The sequence below is a fragment of the Homo sapiens genome, chromosome 22 (genome assembly GCF_000001405.40).
Source record: "Homo sapiens chromosome 22, GRCh38.p14 Primary Assembly".
Taxonomy (NCBI): domain Eukaryota; kingdom Metazoa; phylum Chordata; class Mammalia; order Primates; family Hominidae; genus Homo; species Homo sapiens.
Genome location: NC_000022.11, coordinates 32,434,350 through 32,450,447, shown reverse-complemented (window position 1 = coordinate 32,450,447; position 16,098 = coordinate 32,434,350). Strand labels below are relative to the sequence as shown.

The 16,098-nt window shown below is 43.8% G+C and overlaps 1 protein-coding gene across 6 annotated transcripts in view; it reads left to right on the top strand.

The window, feature by feature from the left end:
- BPIFC (BPI fold containing family C) overlaps positions 1-16,098 on the top strand; it is a 50,602-nt gene that overhangs the window by 13,999 nt on the left and 20,505 nt on the right. For 4 of the 6 annotated variants that reach the window (XM_017028740.2, NM_174932.3, XM_011530090.2 and 1 more), the window contains 6 exons: positions 3,108-3,236; positions 4,452-4,607; positions 4,750-4,813; positions 7,717-7,777; positions 12,597-12,688; positions 14,568-14,744. In XM_017028740.2, the coding sequence (XP_016884229.1) occupies positions 3,108-3,236; positions 4,452-4,607; positions 4,750-4,813; positions 7,717-7,777; positions 12,597-12,688; positions 14,568-14,744 (679 nt within the window). Of the gene's footprint in view, positions 1-2,816; positions 3,237-4,318; positions 4,608-4,749; positions 4,814-7,716; positions 7,778-12,596; positions 12,689-14,567; positions 14,745-16,098 lie in introns of those variants that run through there. The other 2 variants (XM_047441303.1, XM_047441302.1) reach the window with 2 other exon arrangements.

The following is a 16,098-nucleotide window of genomic DNA, read 5'->3' as shown; positions in this document are numbered from 1 at the left end:
GCATTGCTTAACAACAGGAATATGTTCTGAGAAATGCCTTATTAAGTGATTTCATTATTGTGCAAACATTATACGGTGTATTTACACGAACCTAGATGGTATAGCTAACTACATACCTAGGCTATATGACATAGCCTGTTGCTCCTAGGCTACAAACCTGTAAAACATGAGACTGCACTGAATACTGTAAGCAATTGTAATACAATGGTAAGTACTTTTGTATCTAAGCATATCTAGTCATAGAAAAGGGACAGTAAAAATACAGTATATAATCTTATATATATGTGTGTATATATGTGTATATATGTGTGTGTGTGTGTGTGTGTGTGTGTGTGTGTGTGTGTGTGTGTGTGTATGCTCTTTGACCCAACAATTCCACTGCTCAGCATCCTCCTTAGAGAAGTACATGTACACGGCTGGGCGTGATGGCTCACGCTTGTAATCCCAGCACTTTGGGAGGCCAAGGTGGGTGGATCAGAAGGTCAGGAGATCGAGACCATCCTGGCTAACACGGTGAAACCCCATCTCTACTAAAAGTACAAAAAATTAGCCGGGCATGGTGGTGGGCGCCTATAGTCCCAGCTACTCCAGAGGCTGAGGCAAGAGAATGGCGTGAACCCGGGAGGCGGAGCTTGTAGTGAGCCGAGATCATGCCACTGCACTCCAGCCCGGGCGACAGAGTGAAACTCCATCTCAAAAAAGAAAAAAAGAGAAGTACATGTACACAAGCAGTATGTATGAGGATGTTCACTGTGACATTGTATATAATACAGAAGTGCTAGAAAGAACCTAGATGTCCACCAACATAGGAATGATTTTTTTGAAATGGTACATCCATCCACAGTTTGAAATACTCTGCAGCAGTTATAAAGAATTGGTTAGACCTGCATGTATCAAAATGAAAATATTTCCAAGATATAGTAAATGAATCTCTGCCATCCTCTTCCCACAGTGGGACTCAGGATGCGTGACAGAGACTAGGTAGGAAAGGATGCATAGAAGAGGAAATATTATTAGCAAATAATTGTTTCTTATCAGCTATCACATTTATGTTTTAAATTTTTCTTCATCTTCATTCACAACAATCCCTTTCTTGGGTGCAGTAATTATACACAAATGAAGTCATTTTGTCTCCCCGCCCCTACCTGTGAGTAGCACTTCTTTTGAGTGATTGAATCTGGTTAAGCGCCTTGCCCAAGTTTTTACAGCTGGTACTAAACTTGGCTCCAAGTCAAGCACTCTTTGCACAATATGTGAAGTGGCATAGCCTCGTGGTGAAGAGTCTGAAGTCAGACTGAGGAGGGTTCCAGGTCTGGTTCTGCCACTTATATATGACTTCAGCCACTTTTTTTATCTTCTTATCTTTGAAATGGGGATTGCAAAAACAGCAACCACCTCATAGGATTACTGTGAGAGTTAAAATGAGCTAATGCGTGTAATGCACTTACCACAATGCCTGGCAGGTAGCAACCACTCAATAGATATTCATAATAATTTCTTTTTTTTTTTTTGAGACGAAGTCTCACACTGTCACCCGGGCTGGTGTGCAGTGGGGCGATCTCGGCTCACTGCAGCCTCCACTCCTGGGTTCAAGGGATTCTCCTGCCTCAGCCTCCCAAGTAGCTGGGACTACAGGCACATGCCACCACACCCGGTTAATTTTTATATTTTTAGTAGACACGGGGTTTCACTATGTTGGCCAGGCTGGTCTCGAACTCCTGACCTTGTGATCTGCCCGCCTCGGCCTCCCAAAGTGCTGGGATTACAGGCGTGAGCCACCGCGCCCAGCTGTTCATAATAATTTCTTATAATGCATGTGGCCATCTACCTTTGCAGGTTACATGCAACTCACTGCCTCCTAGTTACCCTTTTGACAGCCCAGAGAATCCTAGGGGAAGTCAACTCTCTAAGTTTCTCCACTAGCAAAGATACTGTCCACATAGAGGACATTTGGAAATAGGAGGAAGGCACGTTTCTGATTGTCCCAATGACAGGTGGGGAGGGACACTACTGGCATATGCACCAAATGTCCTGTAATGTGTATGATAGTCCTCTACAAAAATAGCTGTGCCAAGGGCTGGACACAGTGGCTCACGCCTATAATCCCAGCACTTTGGGAGGCCGAGGCGGGCAGATCACGAGGTCAGGTCAGGAGATCAAGACCATCCTGGCTAACATGGTGAAAGCCCGTCTCTACTAAAAATACAAAAAATTATCCAGGTGTGGTGGCATGCGCCTGTAGTCCCAGCTACTTGGGAGGCTGAGGCAGGAGAATCCCTTGAACCCAGGAGGCGGAGATTGCAGTGAGCTGAGATCGTGCCACTGCACTCCAGCCTGGGTGACAGAGCGAGACTCTGTCTCAAAAAAAAAAAAGAAAAAAGAAAAAAAATAGCTGGGCCGTGCAAAATACAAATATCACCCCTTTCGTGAAACACTGGAACTGCTGAAGGAAAAATAATGATGGCAATGTTGTGCCTTTTTTTTGTCTTTAAATAAGCTAAACAAGTAGATTGTTTGATTATTTACAAATATATTTCTAGGCCAGGCGAGGTGTCTCATGCCTGTAATCCCAACACTTTGGGAGGCTGAAACAGGAGGCTTGCTGGAGGCCAGGAGTTCAAGACCAGTCTGGGCAACACAGTGAGATCCTGCCTCTACAAAAAAAATAAAAAATATTAGCCAAGTGTGATGGCACATGCCTGTAGACCCAGCTGTTTGGAAAGCTGAGGCAGGAGGATTACCTGAGCCCAGGAGTTCGAGGCTGCAGTGAGCTATGATCACACCACTGCACTCCAACCTGGGAGACAAATGAGACCCTGTCTCAAAAAAAAAAAAAAAAAGAGAGCGAGAGAGAAGAAAAATTACATATATATTTCTAAACTTGCTCATTTCCCTCATCAACTGGATTCAAGGGACTTCCTGGTAAGAGTTTGAGGAGAATTAGGAGGCAGTTCCCCAGAGACAGCCTTGCAGACAGGAGGTTCTTTTCTCTGTAGGAGTTCACAATGGCCTCAATGGTAAGAGCTCTGCAACTGTGTTCCCAAGTTTGCTTGACTGAAGAGATGTGCTGGAAGAGTCGCCCTAACTTCTTGTTTCTGGTTTTACAGTATAAAAATCAGTGCCTTTTCATTTCCAAATACCTCATTGGCTTTTGTGCCTGGAGTGGGAATCAAAGCGCTAACCAACCATGGCACTGCCAACATCAGCACAGACTGGGGGTTCGAGTCTCCACTTTTGTGAGTATTCCACTGAAATGTCTGCAGCTGTTCTGGGAGAATGTGAGCAAAAACGGAAAATGTAGAAATTCACCAATGTTTTTGGCAATAGGCTTCTTTCCCTCATTATTAACAATCTTTCTCAAAAGCATTTTTTTCCAGGTGAGGCTTAAATTAGGAAATCCTACTGGGGGGTTTTGATGAAAAACATTCTTCTCTTAAAGGCAGAGCATATGATCAAATGTCATTTAAGATTCTCTTAAGAACTAGAAGTCCCTGACTATCAGAGAAACAGATGCATGCTCAACATTTTCGATCACCCACAAATCACTGCATGATCTTGAGCCAGCCATTCAACACACTTCCCCATCTGCAGGAGTAAGTGATGGGAAATGGAGTCTTTCTCCCTCACACAGAGGTTGAAGAATGGTAGTCAGCTTAAGCCTGAGCCCAACTGGAAGGCCTTTGCACCCTCGTGTAGAAGGAGGAAATCAGATTCAAGGTACTTTTACAGGCCAGTTGCAATGTGTAAATCACTGTTCTGGGTGTAATGTTTAGGTCTGCCTTGGTTGGTGCCACAGGATAACACATTCATTCTTCCACTAAGTCAGTCAACAACCATTTATTGAGTGCCTGCTGTGTAACATTTATCCCCATCTAAAGAACTCCAGTCTTGTAGATTGTAGAGAAATGACACGTTCCCCACAGCAACATAGATTCATGTATTCATTCATTTATTCAATGACTCATCAACCATATGCTGAGTACTTACTCTGTGTCAGGCCACATGCTAAGTCTTGGGGACATGGAAATGAGTAACACACAATCCACTCCCTCAAGGAGTTCACAGACTACATCTAAGCATCACTTTTTCATCTATGCCCTTCCTGAATAAAGTGTTGCCAGTCTTGCCCTTTCTTTTCTCTCCCCAAACAAACATTGTATATGAAGGGTGCTCAATACAAGCTCACTCGCTGCCAGGGCCAGAGCACTCAGGGTGAAATAATTAGAATATCCCAATAGCTGTTAGCTTTCACATATTCAGTACTTCGTCTGTTCTGGGAATATTCAATCAGCACCCACTCTGCTCCTACCTGTTGTAGGTGCAAGGAAGTCAGAGGTGAACATGACAAAGTCACTGCAGTCCAGGAGCTTAGAGTCTCTGGGTAATCAGAGAAACAAGATCCATCTCTGTGCCTGACTCAGGCTTGGATAACCTTGCACTTCTTTAAACAGCCAAGACACAGGAGGGGCTGATCTGTTTCTCTCCGGAGTCTACTTTACCGGTATCATTATCCTAACCCGAAATGACTTTGGTCATCCTACCCTGAAGCTCCAAGATTGCTACGCCCAACTGAGCCATGCCCACGTCTCATTTTCCGGAGAACTCAGGTGAATGAGAGCCCTGGGTTGGGCAGTGGCTAGTTAGGGGCTGGATACTCAGGCATCGCCTAGGGAAGGTTTACAAATGGCTGATTATGGTCTCTGAGTAACCTCTTTTTTTTTTTTTTTTTTTTTTCATTTTTTTCCTCAGTGTTCTGTATAACTCCTTTGCTGAGCCCATGGAGAAACCCATTTTAAAGAACTTAAATGAAATGGTGAGTCTTTAGAGGTTAGGCAACCACAGTAAAATGCCATTAGTAGAAGTTCTATCATCCTTTAATTAATTCTTTTTTGTTTGTTTGTTTGTTTTTTTGAGACAGAGTCTCGCTCTGTCGCCCAGGCTGGAGTGCAGTGGCACGATCTCCGCTCACTGCAAGCTCCGCCTCCTGGGTTCAAGGGATTCTCCTGCCTCAGCCTCCCAAGTAGCTGGGACTACAGGTGCCCGCCACCATGCCCGGCTAATTTTTTGTATTTTTAGTAGAGACGGGGTTTCACTGTGTTGGCCGGGATGGTCTTGATCTCCTGAACTCGTGATCCGCGCACCTTGGCCTCCCAAAGTGTTGGGATTACAGGCATGAGCCACCGCGCCTGGCCAATCCTTTAATTAATTCTTAATCAAGAAACCTTTATTGAGCATCTACTGTGTGCTAGGCACTATCCAAGGCACTTTCACACACATTAAATATCCTTTGCAACTTAATAACAGTTTCTCAAATCCCTACTATGTGCCAAATATTGTGGTAGGTGCTTGGGATGCAGAGATAAAGAAAGCAACAGCACATCTCTCAAATTTCTTACCATAGGGTGGGCAAACAACCAACAAGAATTTACTTATTATGTACCTATTGCATGCTCAGCTGCCATGGACTAGGATCTGTTGGGAATAGGACAGAGGGATACACTTGTGTATTCAAAAGCTCAAACTCGGGCTTGTGAAACAATAACTAACTGAGTACTTGAATTTAGTATACAGTTACACGATCATTAGATTGAGCAGGAGAGGTTCAGAGAAATGGAAAATTTTGAAGAAATAGGGCCTGGAAGTGTCCTGGGAGATAATTTTTACAGGATGCAGAACTTGAACTAGATCTTAACATATAGGTAGGATTTGTATATGTAAGGAATGAAGGATAAGAAGAGGTATTTCCAGGACATACAATAGGAATAAGTTAAGAAAATAGAATATATTAAGATCCTTTCCAAAGCTATAAGGCTTCTAGTCTCAGAAGTCAGTGTCTGAAGAAGGGAAAGATGGAATTGTCTATGCACTCTCTTTCCAATAATGACCACACCTTCCCTGAACCGTTTACCTGTATTTTGGGGGAGATAAGGACAGGGATGAGGAGGAATAGAAAAGAAGGAAGACTCTTCTGGAAAAGAAGGGACAAAGACAGGGTCTGGTCACGTCCATCTCTCTAGTGCTCAGCTCGGTGCTTGACAGACATTATAGGTGCTTAATGAAAGTCGTAAGGAAATCAACACTCAGAAGCATCAAGCAGCTCATCCCAGGAGGTGGCGCAGCTGTCCAGGACTCAGAAGCCTTATAGTCCTTCTCCATCCTTACCTGACAGATGCTGAGTGCCAATGAGTGTGCATATTAGAGTCCCTGGCAAAGTGCACTGTCATCCTCAAGGACCCCAAACTTGATCATTCCCCTGTTTGAAACGAGGCACGGTCCTTTTGCCTCTGACAGGAGGCCAGTGAAGAATGAGTTATGTCACAGAAGCCAATAATTAAGTTTGCCTGAAATTGATTTATGGCTTAAAGATAATAGATGTTTCTGTGATTCTCTCTGTGCCACTGGAAGATAGAAAAGAATGCTGAGACCACAGCTGTCTAGCTGTGTAAACTGAGTTCAAATCCCGGCTATGCAACACCTGGCAACTCACTTAACCTCTCTAAGCTTTGGTTTTCCCATCTGTAATTAGGGGACCGTCATGCCTCCCTCTCAAGGCTGTAGTGAAGGTGAAATGGAGTTAAACTAACAACGGCTAACACTTACTCAATGCTTACTATAAGCTGGGCAAGTTTACATGGATTACTTCCATTTCTACTCACAATGTGATGAGGTGGACACAATTATCATCCCCATGCAAATGTTGCAGATGTGGAAACTGAGATCAAAGAATACAAGTAACTTGCCAAGGGATTCAACCCTCGGCCCCAGGCAGCCAAGCCTGTGCTGTACCCACTATGCCAAGCACATCAATGAGCACACAAGAGGCACATCAGTGCTGATACCTCTGCCCCTTCCTAAAAATATTAATGTGACTCAAGACTAATTTTCAAATTCCAAAAAGGTGGCAACAAAATAGATCTCTAAGTAGATCTCTGATATAATGTGCTCTCCAACTAGCCCAGGGGGAAAGTAAAAGCTCTAGCTCTGGGGCCGGGCGCGGTGGCTCACGCCTGTAATCCCAGCACTTTGGGAGGCCGAGGCGGGTGAATCACGAGGTCAGGAGATCGAGACCATCCTGGCTAACACGGTGAAACCCCGTCTCTACTAAAAATACAAAAAATTAGCCGGGCATAGTGGCGAGCGCCTGTAGTCCCAGCTACGCAGGAGGCTGAGGCAGGAGAATGGCATGAACCAGGGAGGCGGAGCTTGCAGTGAGCCGAGATCGCGCCACTGCACTCCAGCCTGGGTGACAGAGCGAGACTTCGTCTCAAAAAAAAAAAAAAAAAAAGCTCCAGCTCTAACCATTCCAGGTAGGGCATGCAACCGCTCCTAGAGGAGATGGCAAGCTGGCGGCACCCCCAGCAGTCAGGAAAGATACAGCAGCTCCAGCAGCAGGTTCCTCGGGTATAACAGCATGGACTGGGACGCATGCCCTATCATGTCACAGAAAGAAACGACAAGGGCTCACTCACTCTTTACAGGGCTGATTGGATGTAGTGCTAGTTGCTACAAAGTTCAGCTGGCATTCAGTGACATACCACCCGTATCTACGTAAAGCGAGGCCCATAGACATCAACAAATTTAAGAGAATGTCTCGATGACCAAAGGGATAATGACTGCTAACCAGAAGGCCTTTGTTTGCAGGGTCTAGGCCCATCAATAAGGCTTTCCAGTACAACATGGTAACTTGCTTTTTTCTTTTTATTCCTTTGTGGCCAGCTCTGTCCCATTATTGCAAGTGAAGTCAAAGCGCTAAATGCCAACCTCAGCACACTGGAGGGTGAGTCTTAGAACTGTCTTTTCCAGATGGTTGTCTTCCTACCTTCAAAAGCTGGTACTGCCTGGGTTTGCTTTTCAAGGCGGTATAGCTTGAGCTATCCATCCTGCTTCATATTCTGCAAATTAGAGCCCCGGGAAGGTGCTTGGGAGGATGTGCCTTGTGCTTAGGGCATATGTACTCTTTGGCTAATAACTAACTTCACTGCCACAAGAGGGGTGGCTCCAGGGGGATGAGATGTAGGTTCAGGAACTAAACCCTCACGAGCACGAACCCAAGCAGTGACATTACATCCCTTCTCTTCAGAGGGATTAACACTGATCTTGACCAGGTTATTCTGGGGTTCTCAGCCTGCAGTGGCTGCCCTGAGCATCAAGTCCTCGCACCTTAGCATGGACTACAAGATTCACCACACCCCATCTCCTACTTACCTCTCTCTGCTTCATCTTTCTCTTTACCTTTCTCTGCCCCAGCAATCAAACTGTTTCCACTGCCCTCCTCACCCCTTGCCTTTGCTTTTGCTGTTTTCTCTGCCTGGAAGAGCTTCCTCTCTCCTCCATCCTTTCATTCCTTTAACCCAGGAGTCCCCAGTCCCTGGGCCACAGACAGGTTAGAAACTGGACTGCACAGCCGGAGGTGAACAGTGGGCAGGCGACTGAGCATTACTGCCTGAGCTCTGCCTCCTGTCAGATCAGTGGCAGCATTAGATTCTCATAGGAGTGCGAACCCTATTGTGAACCGTGCATGCGAGGGATCTAGGTTGCATGTGCCTTATGGGAATCTAATGCCTGATGATCTGAGGTGAAACAGTTTCATCCCGAAACCATCCCCCCCAACCCCAGGCCATGGAAAAATCATCTTCCATTAAACTGGTCCCTGGTGCTAAAAAGGTTGAGGACCGCTGCTTTAACAGATACATATTGAGTGCCCATTTCTAAACCTGCAGAGTTTAGCCAGCACTGTGCTAAACCCTGGAGGATTTAATCCTTTCCGTTCTCTATCTCTCTTTATATGTTGTGTTCCCTCCTCTTTATATTTAAGACCCAGCTCAGACATAGCCTCTTCCAGGAAACCTTACCTGACAGCCCCCACTCCGTAAAGTTATGCCTCCTCTGTGCTCACATGACACTTTGGACATCTCTCTCTCACTTTGCACTCCATCCATTCATTCACCAATGGCGCGCTGAGCACCTGAAATAGCCTGAGCACTGTTCTTGGTGCTGGGGATGCAGCAGTATTCCCAGGCAACAGACATACCTGCCGTCATGGGAGTAGTGGGAGGAGACAGACAGCAAGCAAGATAAACAAGTAAAATCTAAGTTATGGCAGTGATAAGTGGTAAGAAGAAAAATAAAGCAGTGGAGGAGGTGGAGAGGAATTTCCATTCTAGATAGAGTGACCAGGAAAGCCACCACTGAGCAGGTGGCATTACTAGAAAAACCCAAAGGGAGTAGAAAGTGAGCTGCTGCTCAATCTAGATGAAGATTCCAGATCGAGGAAACTGCAGGCACAAAAACCCTGAGGCTGAATATCTCAAGTGTGCTGGGGAGGCTGTGAGAAGGACACACTAGGAGCAGGGGGTTGGGGGAGAGCAGGCAATGAGGCCAGAGATGGGGAAGAGGGGATGGTTTGATCTTCAGGGATGTGTAGGGACTGCAAAGTCCACCTCTTAATCTAAGATGGGATGCCTTTGAAGAGTAAGGCCGGCATGACTTAACTTACAGTTTAAGGAGATCGGTCTGGCTTCTGTGCTAAAAAAAATAGACAGGAAGGAAGGGGGTCAAGGGCAAAAGCAAAGAGACTACTTAAGAGATGAGTGCAGTGACCCATACAATTAATGATGGTGGCCGGCCTAGGGTGGGGTGATGAAGATGGTAAGGCATGTTGGGATTCTGGATGTACCTTGAAGGTCAAGACAGTGGTTTTTGTGCAACAGATCAAATGTAGGTCAGGAGAAGAGTGAAGGGTGACTTTGGTGGGTAAAACCCTAAGCAATTGGAAAATTGGAAGAAGGGATTTAGCATTTATTGAGATGGGAAAGAACCTAAGAACAAGTTTGTAGCAGGATCATCAGGAGCCCAGTTTAGATCAGCCTTTGCTGTGTTGTATTATAATTTCCTGTTGATATATCTGTCTACTCCCCAAGACTATGAGTTCCTTGGGTGCAGGAACTTTGACTCACCGCTGTGCCCCCAGCGTCAGGCACAGCACCTAGCCCATTAGATTAAGAAATATCAGGCGCAGTGGCTCACTCCTGTAATCCTAGCACTTTGGGAGGCCAAGGTGGGAGGATTGCTTGAGGTCAGGAGTTCAAGACCTGCCTAGGCAACATAGTGAGACCTTGTTTCTATATAAAAAAAATTTTTTTTTAATTAGCCAGGCATGGTGGCGTGCGCCTTTAGTCCCAGCTACAGGGAGGCTGAGGTAGGAGGATTACTTGAGCCCAGGAGGTTGAGGCTGCAGTGAGCCAAGATCATGCAGTGAGCCAAGATCCAGTCTAGGTGACAAAGTGAGATCTTGTCTCAAAAAATATATATATTAGACTGATAAATGGATGCAGATGGATGAAAGAAAATGAATGGATTGGAGATGTAGGGAAGGAAAACAAGATGTAGTGAGGAAAGAAGTAGCCAAGGATCACCATGTTCTAGCTTTCCTTGAGCAAGTTCCTTTACCTCTGAGCCTCACTCACCACATCTGTGAAATGATTGCTGTCCCTCAGAGTAACAACTTGAAAGTATTTTAAAAACTGTGGCAATGGCCAGGCACAGTGGCCCACACCTGTAATCCCAGCACTTTGGGAAGCTGAGGCGAGCAACTCGCTTGAGGTCAGGAGTTCAAGACCAGCCTGGCCAACAGGGTGAAATGCTGTCTCTACTAAAAATACAAAAATTAGCCAGAGGTGGTGGCGCAGGCCTGTAATCCCAGCTACTTGGGTGGCTGAGTCAGGAGAATCACTTGAACCCGAGAGACAGAGGTTGCAATGAGCCAAGATTGTGCCACTGCACTCCAGCCTGGGTGACAGAGCAAGACTCTGTCTCAAAAAAAAAAGTGAAAAATAAAAAATAAAAACTATGGTGGCTTAGGATAATATTATTCCTTTATCTTAGCAAGATACTTCATCTCTTCTTGCTTTTCATCTCCATCTATGACATGCAAGAAAAGAGAAGACATGATGCTCAGGTAACTTTCTCTAGAACAGGGAGTAGGTCTTCATATTGTAGAACACATAATGGTGGTCAGGAAAGCAGCTCTCCAAAGCCGAGTGGGAAACCTGAGCCCTGAGTCACTGCACATACAACTAGCTTCAGAGACTAAAATCTGTGCTTTCATTTATTTTTTTTTTTTTAGACGGAGTTTCGCTCTTGTTACCCAGGCTGGAGTGCAATGGCACAATCTTGGCTCACCGCAACCTGCGCCTCCTGGGTTCAAGAGATTCTCCTGCCTCAGCCTCCCAAGTAGCTGGGATTACAGGCGCGTGCCACCACACCTTGCTAATTTTGTATTTTTAGTAGAGATGGGGTTTCTCCGTGTTGGTCAGGCTGGTCTCAAACTCCTGACCTCAGGTGATCCGCCCACCTCAGCCTCCCAAAGTGCTGGGATTACAGGCGTGACCCACCACACCCAGCCCAATCTGTGCTTTCTGGAACTTCACCCACCACTGCACCCTGGTCCCCTTGACTTCTGCTTTATTCTGAAAATGATAATACATAAAATTATTTGGATTAGCAGCACTGTGCCTAAGAATCTCCTTGGCCTCTCCAATTTAGTGGACTTTATTTTCTCTCACACAATCTGTTTCTAAAAATATTTCTAATGACAACAGTAAAGCATACTCCTTGTTAAAAAAAAAAAAGTTCTAACTGCAATTTATAACATCAAACTGAAGAGTCTTTCATTATACCAAGCCAATACATATCTCTAAATATTGATATGAGTTTTGTGTTTGTACTAATTTCCTTTTTAAAAAATAACTATATAGGGCTGGGTGTGGTGGCTCACTCCTGTAATCCCCGTACTTTGGGAGGCCAAGGTGGGTGGATGACTTGAGGTCAGGAGTTCGAAGCCAGCCTGGCCAACATGGTGAAACGCTGTCTCTACTAAAAATACAAAAATTAGCCATGTGTGGTGGTGGGTGCCTGTAATCTCAGCTACTAGGAAGGCTGAGGCATGAAAATTGCTTGAACCCAGGAGGCAGAGGTTGCAGTGAGCTGAGATTGTACCACTGCACTCCAGTCAGGGTGATAGAGTGAGACTTTGTCTCAAAAAAAACAAAAAACAAAAAACAAAACTATACATGCATTTTGTGTGTTTGTATGTGTGTATACCTAAAAAGATATACAGTAGTCCTCCCTTATCTGCAGTTTTGCCTTCTGCAGTTTCAGTTATCCGTGGTCAACCGTGGTTTAAAAATATTTAATATCTCAATGTGAATTTGAGAGAGAGAGAGAGAGACCACATTCACATTCACATTCACATTCCTTTTATTACAGTGTATGTAGGGGTTGGTACTGTCCACACTTTCAGGCATCCACTGGGGTCTTGGAACATATGCCCTGCAGATAAGGGGGACCACTGCACACCAAAATTTTAGTGATGCTTCTCTCAGAGTAATACACTTGGAAAAAATGTTCACTTTCTTCTTTTGATTTATCTACTTTTCCTGGGTTTTCAAAAGATAACATGTATTACTTCTGAAAAGCAGGAATTGATCTTTTAAACAGAGAATTTAAAATTATATTGTTCTAGATAGACATCATTCATATATTATACTATGCCTTTAATGAATATGGATTTTCTTTTTTCTTTGTTGGTTATTTAGTTTTAACCAAGATTGACAACTACACTCTGCTGGATTACTCCCTAATCAGTTCTCCAGAAATTACTGAGAACTACCTTGACCTGAACTTGAAGGTAACTTTATCATCATCAGAATCCTCAGCCTGGCTGTCAACAGCCAATATTTAGAAAACAATGATTATGGACTGGGCACGGTGCCTCACACCTGTAATCCCAGCACTTTGGGAGGCCCAGGCAGGTGGATCACTTGAGGCCAGGAGTTTGAGACCAGGCTGGCCAACATGGTGAAACCCCGTCTCTACTAAAAACACAAAAAATTAGCCAGTGTGGTGGCACACAGCTGCATTCCCAGCTGTTTGGGAAGCTGAGGCAGGAGAATTGCTTGAACCTGGAAGGCAGAGGTTGCAGTGAGCCGAGATCATACCACTGCATTCCAGCCTGGGTGACAGAGCAAGACTCTATCTCAAAAAAACAAAACAAAATGAAAACAAAAACAAAAACAAAAAACAATGATTCTGTACAGAAGGAAATCTATATACATGCTCTTGGAATAATTTAATTTTCTTTCAAGCAACTGCCTCATGTTTACACCTTTTCAAAAGACTCTTGAACGTTTTATTGATAAGCAAATGATTGTATTGTACAACATATGTCTGCCCTCTTCAGGAGAAGGATCATATGTCTTTGCCCCTAGGAGTAGGTTTGAGGCTAGGAGGCAGCAAGTAGAGCAGTCTGCATTTATTGGAACTAAACACATCAGTAGCTGGTACACGTTGGCACTTCCATTCCTAAGTGTTCAGGTTAGTGGATTTAACTGAGGGCTGCTGACCTCTGTCAGGGCCATAAGCACGTGGCATTAGTGTTCACTGATCATGGAAAAACAATCATTGTGGTTATGTTTCATTTTGCCCCAAAGCTAATATCATTGTCTTTTAAAATGCATATTGGCTCATATTTCACTCACCAGAGTCTTTCAACTCAGTTCAGTGTTGGACAAGACAATATTTTGTAATAACGCCCTATAGCTAATGAGAGCAGTGCTAGAAATGCTACAAAAATGCCTTAAACCATTTGGAGTCTTGGGTCTTCTTTCTATGATTCCCCAGGTACTCAGCAGACACAGATTTTGAAGGTCAAGTGTTTGACACCACTACATGGCACCTCAGGAAGTGCTTTTACTCAGAGTTGTCCTTCCAGCTAAATACACCTCCTTCTTTGTCTTAGAAAAGTTCAAACAAGGGTTCTCATTGGGTTACACCCTGGGGTGAAACAGACACACCTAAATATGCTCAAGAATCCTAAGAGCTTTGAAAAATAGTCACTGGTCAAGGAGTCAGAAAGCCTTAACAGTTTTTCATCATTACTGAGTTTCTAGGATTCTTCTTCTTCTTCTTCTTCCTCTTCTTTTTCTTCTTCTTCTTATGCTTCTTCTTCTCCTTCTCCTTCTCCTTCTCCTTCTTTTCCCTCCTCCTCCTCCTCTTCCTCCTCCTCCTCTTCCTCCTCCTCCTCCTCCTCCTCCTCCTCCTCTTCCTCTTCTTTCTTCTTCTTCTTCTTCCTCTTCCTCTTCTTCTTTTGGACAAGGTCCCCCTCTGTCACCCAGGCTGGAGGCTGAAGTGCAGTGGCACAGTCACAATTCACTGCAGCTTCAACCTCCCTGGTTCAAGGGATTCACCTCACTCAGCCTCCCAAGTAGCCGGAACTACAGGTACGCGCCACCACACCTGGCTAATTTTTGTATTTTTTATAGAAACGGGGCCTGCCATGTTGCCCAGGTTGATCATGGAAAAACAGTCATTCAATCAATTCAAACTCCAGTGTTCCAGTGATTCACCCGCCTCAGCCTCCCAAAGTGTTGGGATTATAGGCGTGAGCCACCACACCTGGCCCGAGCTTCTGGAATTCTTATTCTGACTTCAGAGGGTCCATCTTCTTAGTCTTCTTAGAATTTGAGTTTTCACCTGATACACTGGTCTTTCTCTCTCTTTTCCCACAGGGTGTATTCTACCCACTGGAAAACCTCACCGACCCCCCCTTCTCACCAGTTCCTTTTGTGCTCCCAGAACGCAGCAACTCCATGCTCTACATTGGAATCGCCGAGTATTTCTTTAAATCTGCGTCCTTTGCTCATTTCACAGCTGGGGTTTTCAATGTCACTCTCTCCACCGAAGAGGTGAGGAGAGTTAACTGAGGATGTCAATGGTCACCATCATTCAGCCTTTTTATAAGTATCCTATTGTAGAACTTTTATGCCACAATTTCGATTCTGGGACCTTTTTAGGCTATCACTCCCAGCAAGACAGTGAAGGAATGAGGGAATTGTGGAGTGAACATTGTTACGGGTTGAGCATCCCTTATCCAAAATGCTTGGGACCAGAAGTGTTCTGGATTTCGGATTTTGTCAGATTTTGGGATATTTGCATTATATATACTTACCGGTTGAGCAGCCCTAATCTGAAAATCCAAAATCTAAAATGCTCCAATAAGCATTTCCGTTGTGTATCATGTCAGCATTTAATAGTTGGATTTTGGGGCACTTTGAATTTTGGATATTCAGATTAGGAATGTTCAACCTGTATTAGTTGGGGAGTTGTCAAGTTTCCAGTTCTGCTAATACCTCACCACTCACCACTGTTCTAGATTAATCTCCAATAATAGCAAGATCCCTTTCCATCATGTATTGCCTGTGACCTTAGAGGTAATTTCAATTTATATAACTTCTGTGGGCCAGAATTTCTTCATCTGGAAAAGGCAGATAATAATAGTTCCTTACTCATAGAGTTTATATGGGCATTAAAAGATTTAAATACATGTCAAGCATTCAGACCAATCCCCAACACAGAATAAGTGCGATATAACTGTTGCTTATCATCATTGTCATCATTATTCCCTGTATTATGCTGACGTAAAGTTATCCTGGTTGTAATTACAGCTGGTTTATCTACAATGATCAGTAATAATACAGATATTCATTGATCCTCTGTCATGCACCTCCCTTTTATAATGACAGCACTGTCTCTAGCCAGTCAACCAAAAACTTTTATTGAGCATCTCTTTTTGAATCTCCTCATTCTATATGTTTTAATTATATAAGTAGGTATAAAGCTTATGTTCAGAATGGTAAGTATGGCAGCAGTGGCTATCTTACGATACTGAGAATTAGACACTTCTAGCTGCAGACTTCAAAATCATTTATCTCTGAAGGTAAATTCCTTAAGCATCCAGTATCTCAGTAATCCCTAAAAGTGAGGACAGTAACACAAGGCTTATCGTTAATGACTGTAGAATATGTATACATAGATAGATTGTAATATATATAAGTGAAGAATATGTACACATAGATTGTAATATATATATAAATAAAGACTATGTACATATAGATTGTAATATATATAAATGAAGAATATGTACACATAGATGTAATATATATAAATAATATGTATACATAGATTGTAATATATATAAAGAATATGTACACATAGATTGTAATATATATAAATAAAGAATATGTACACATAGATTGTAAT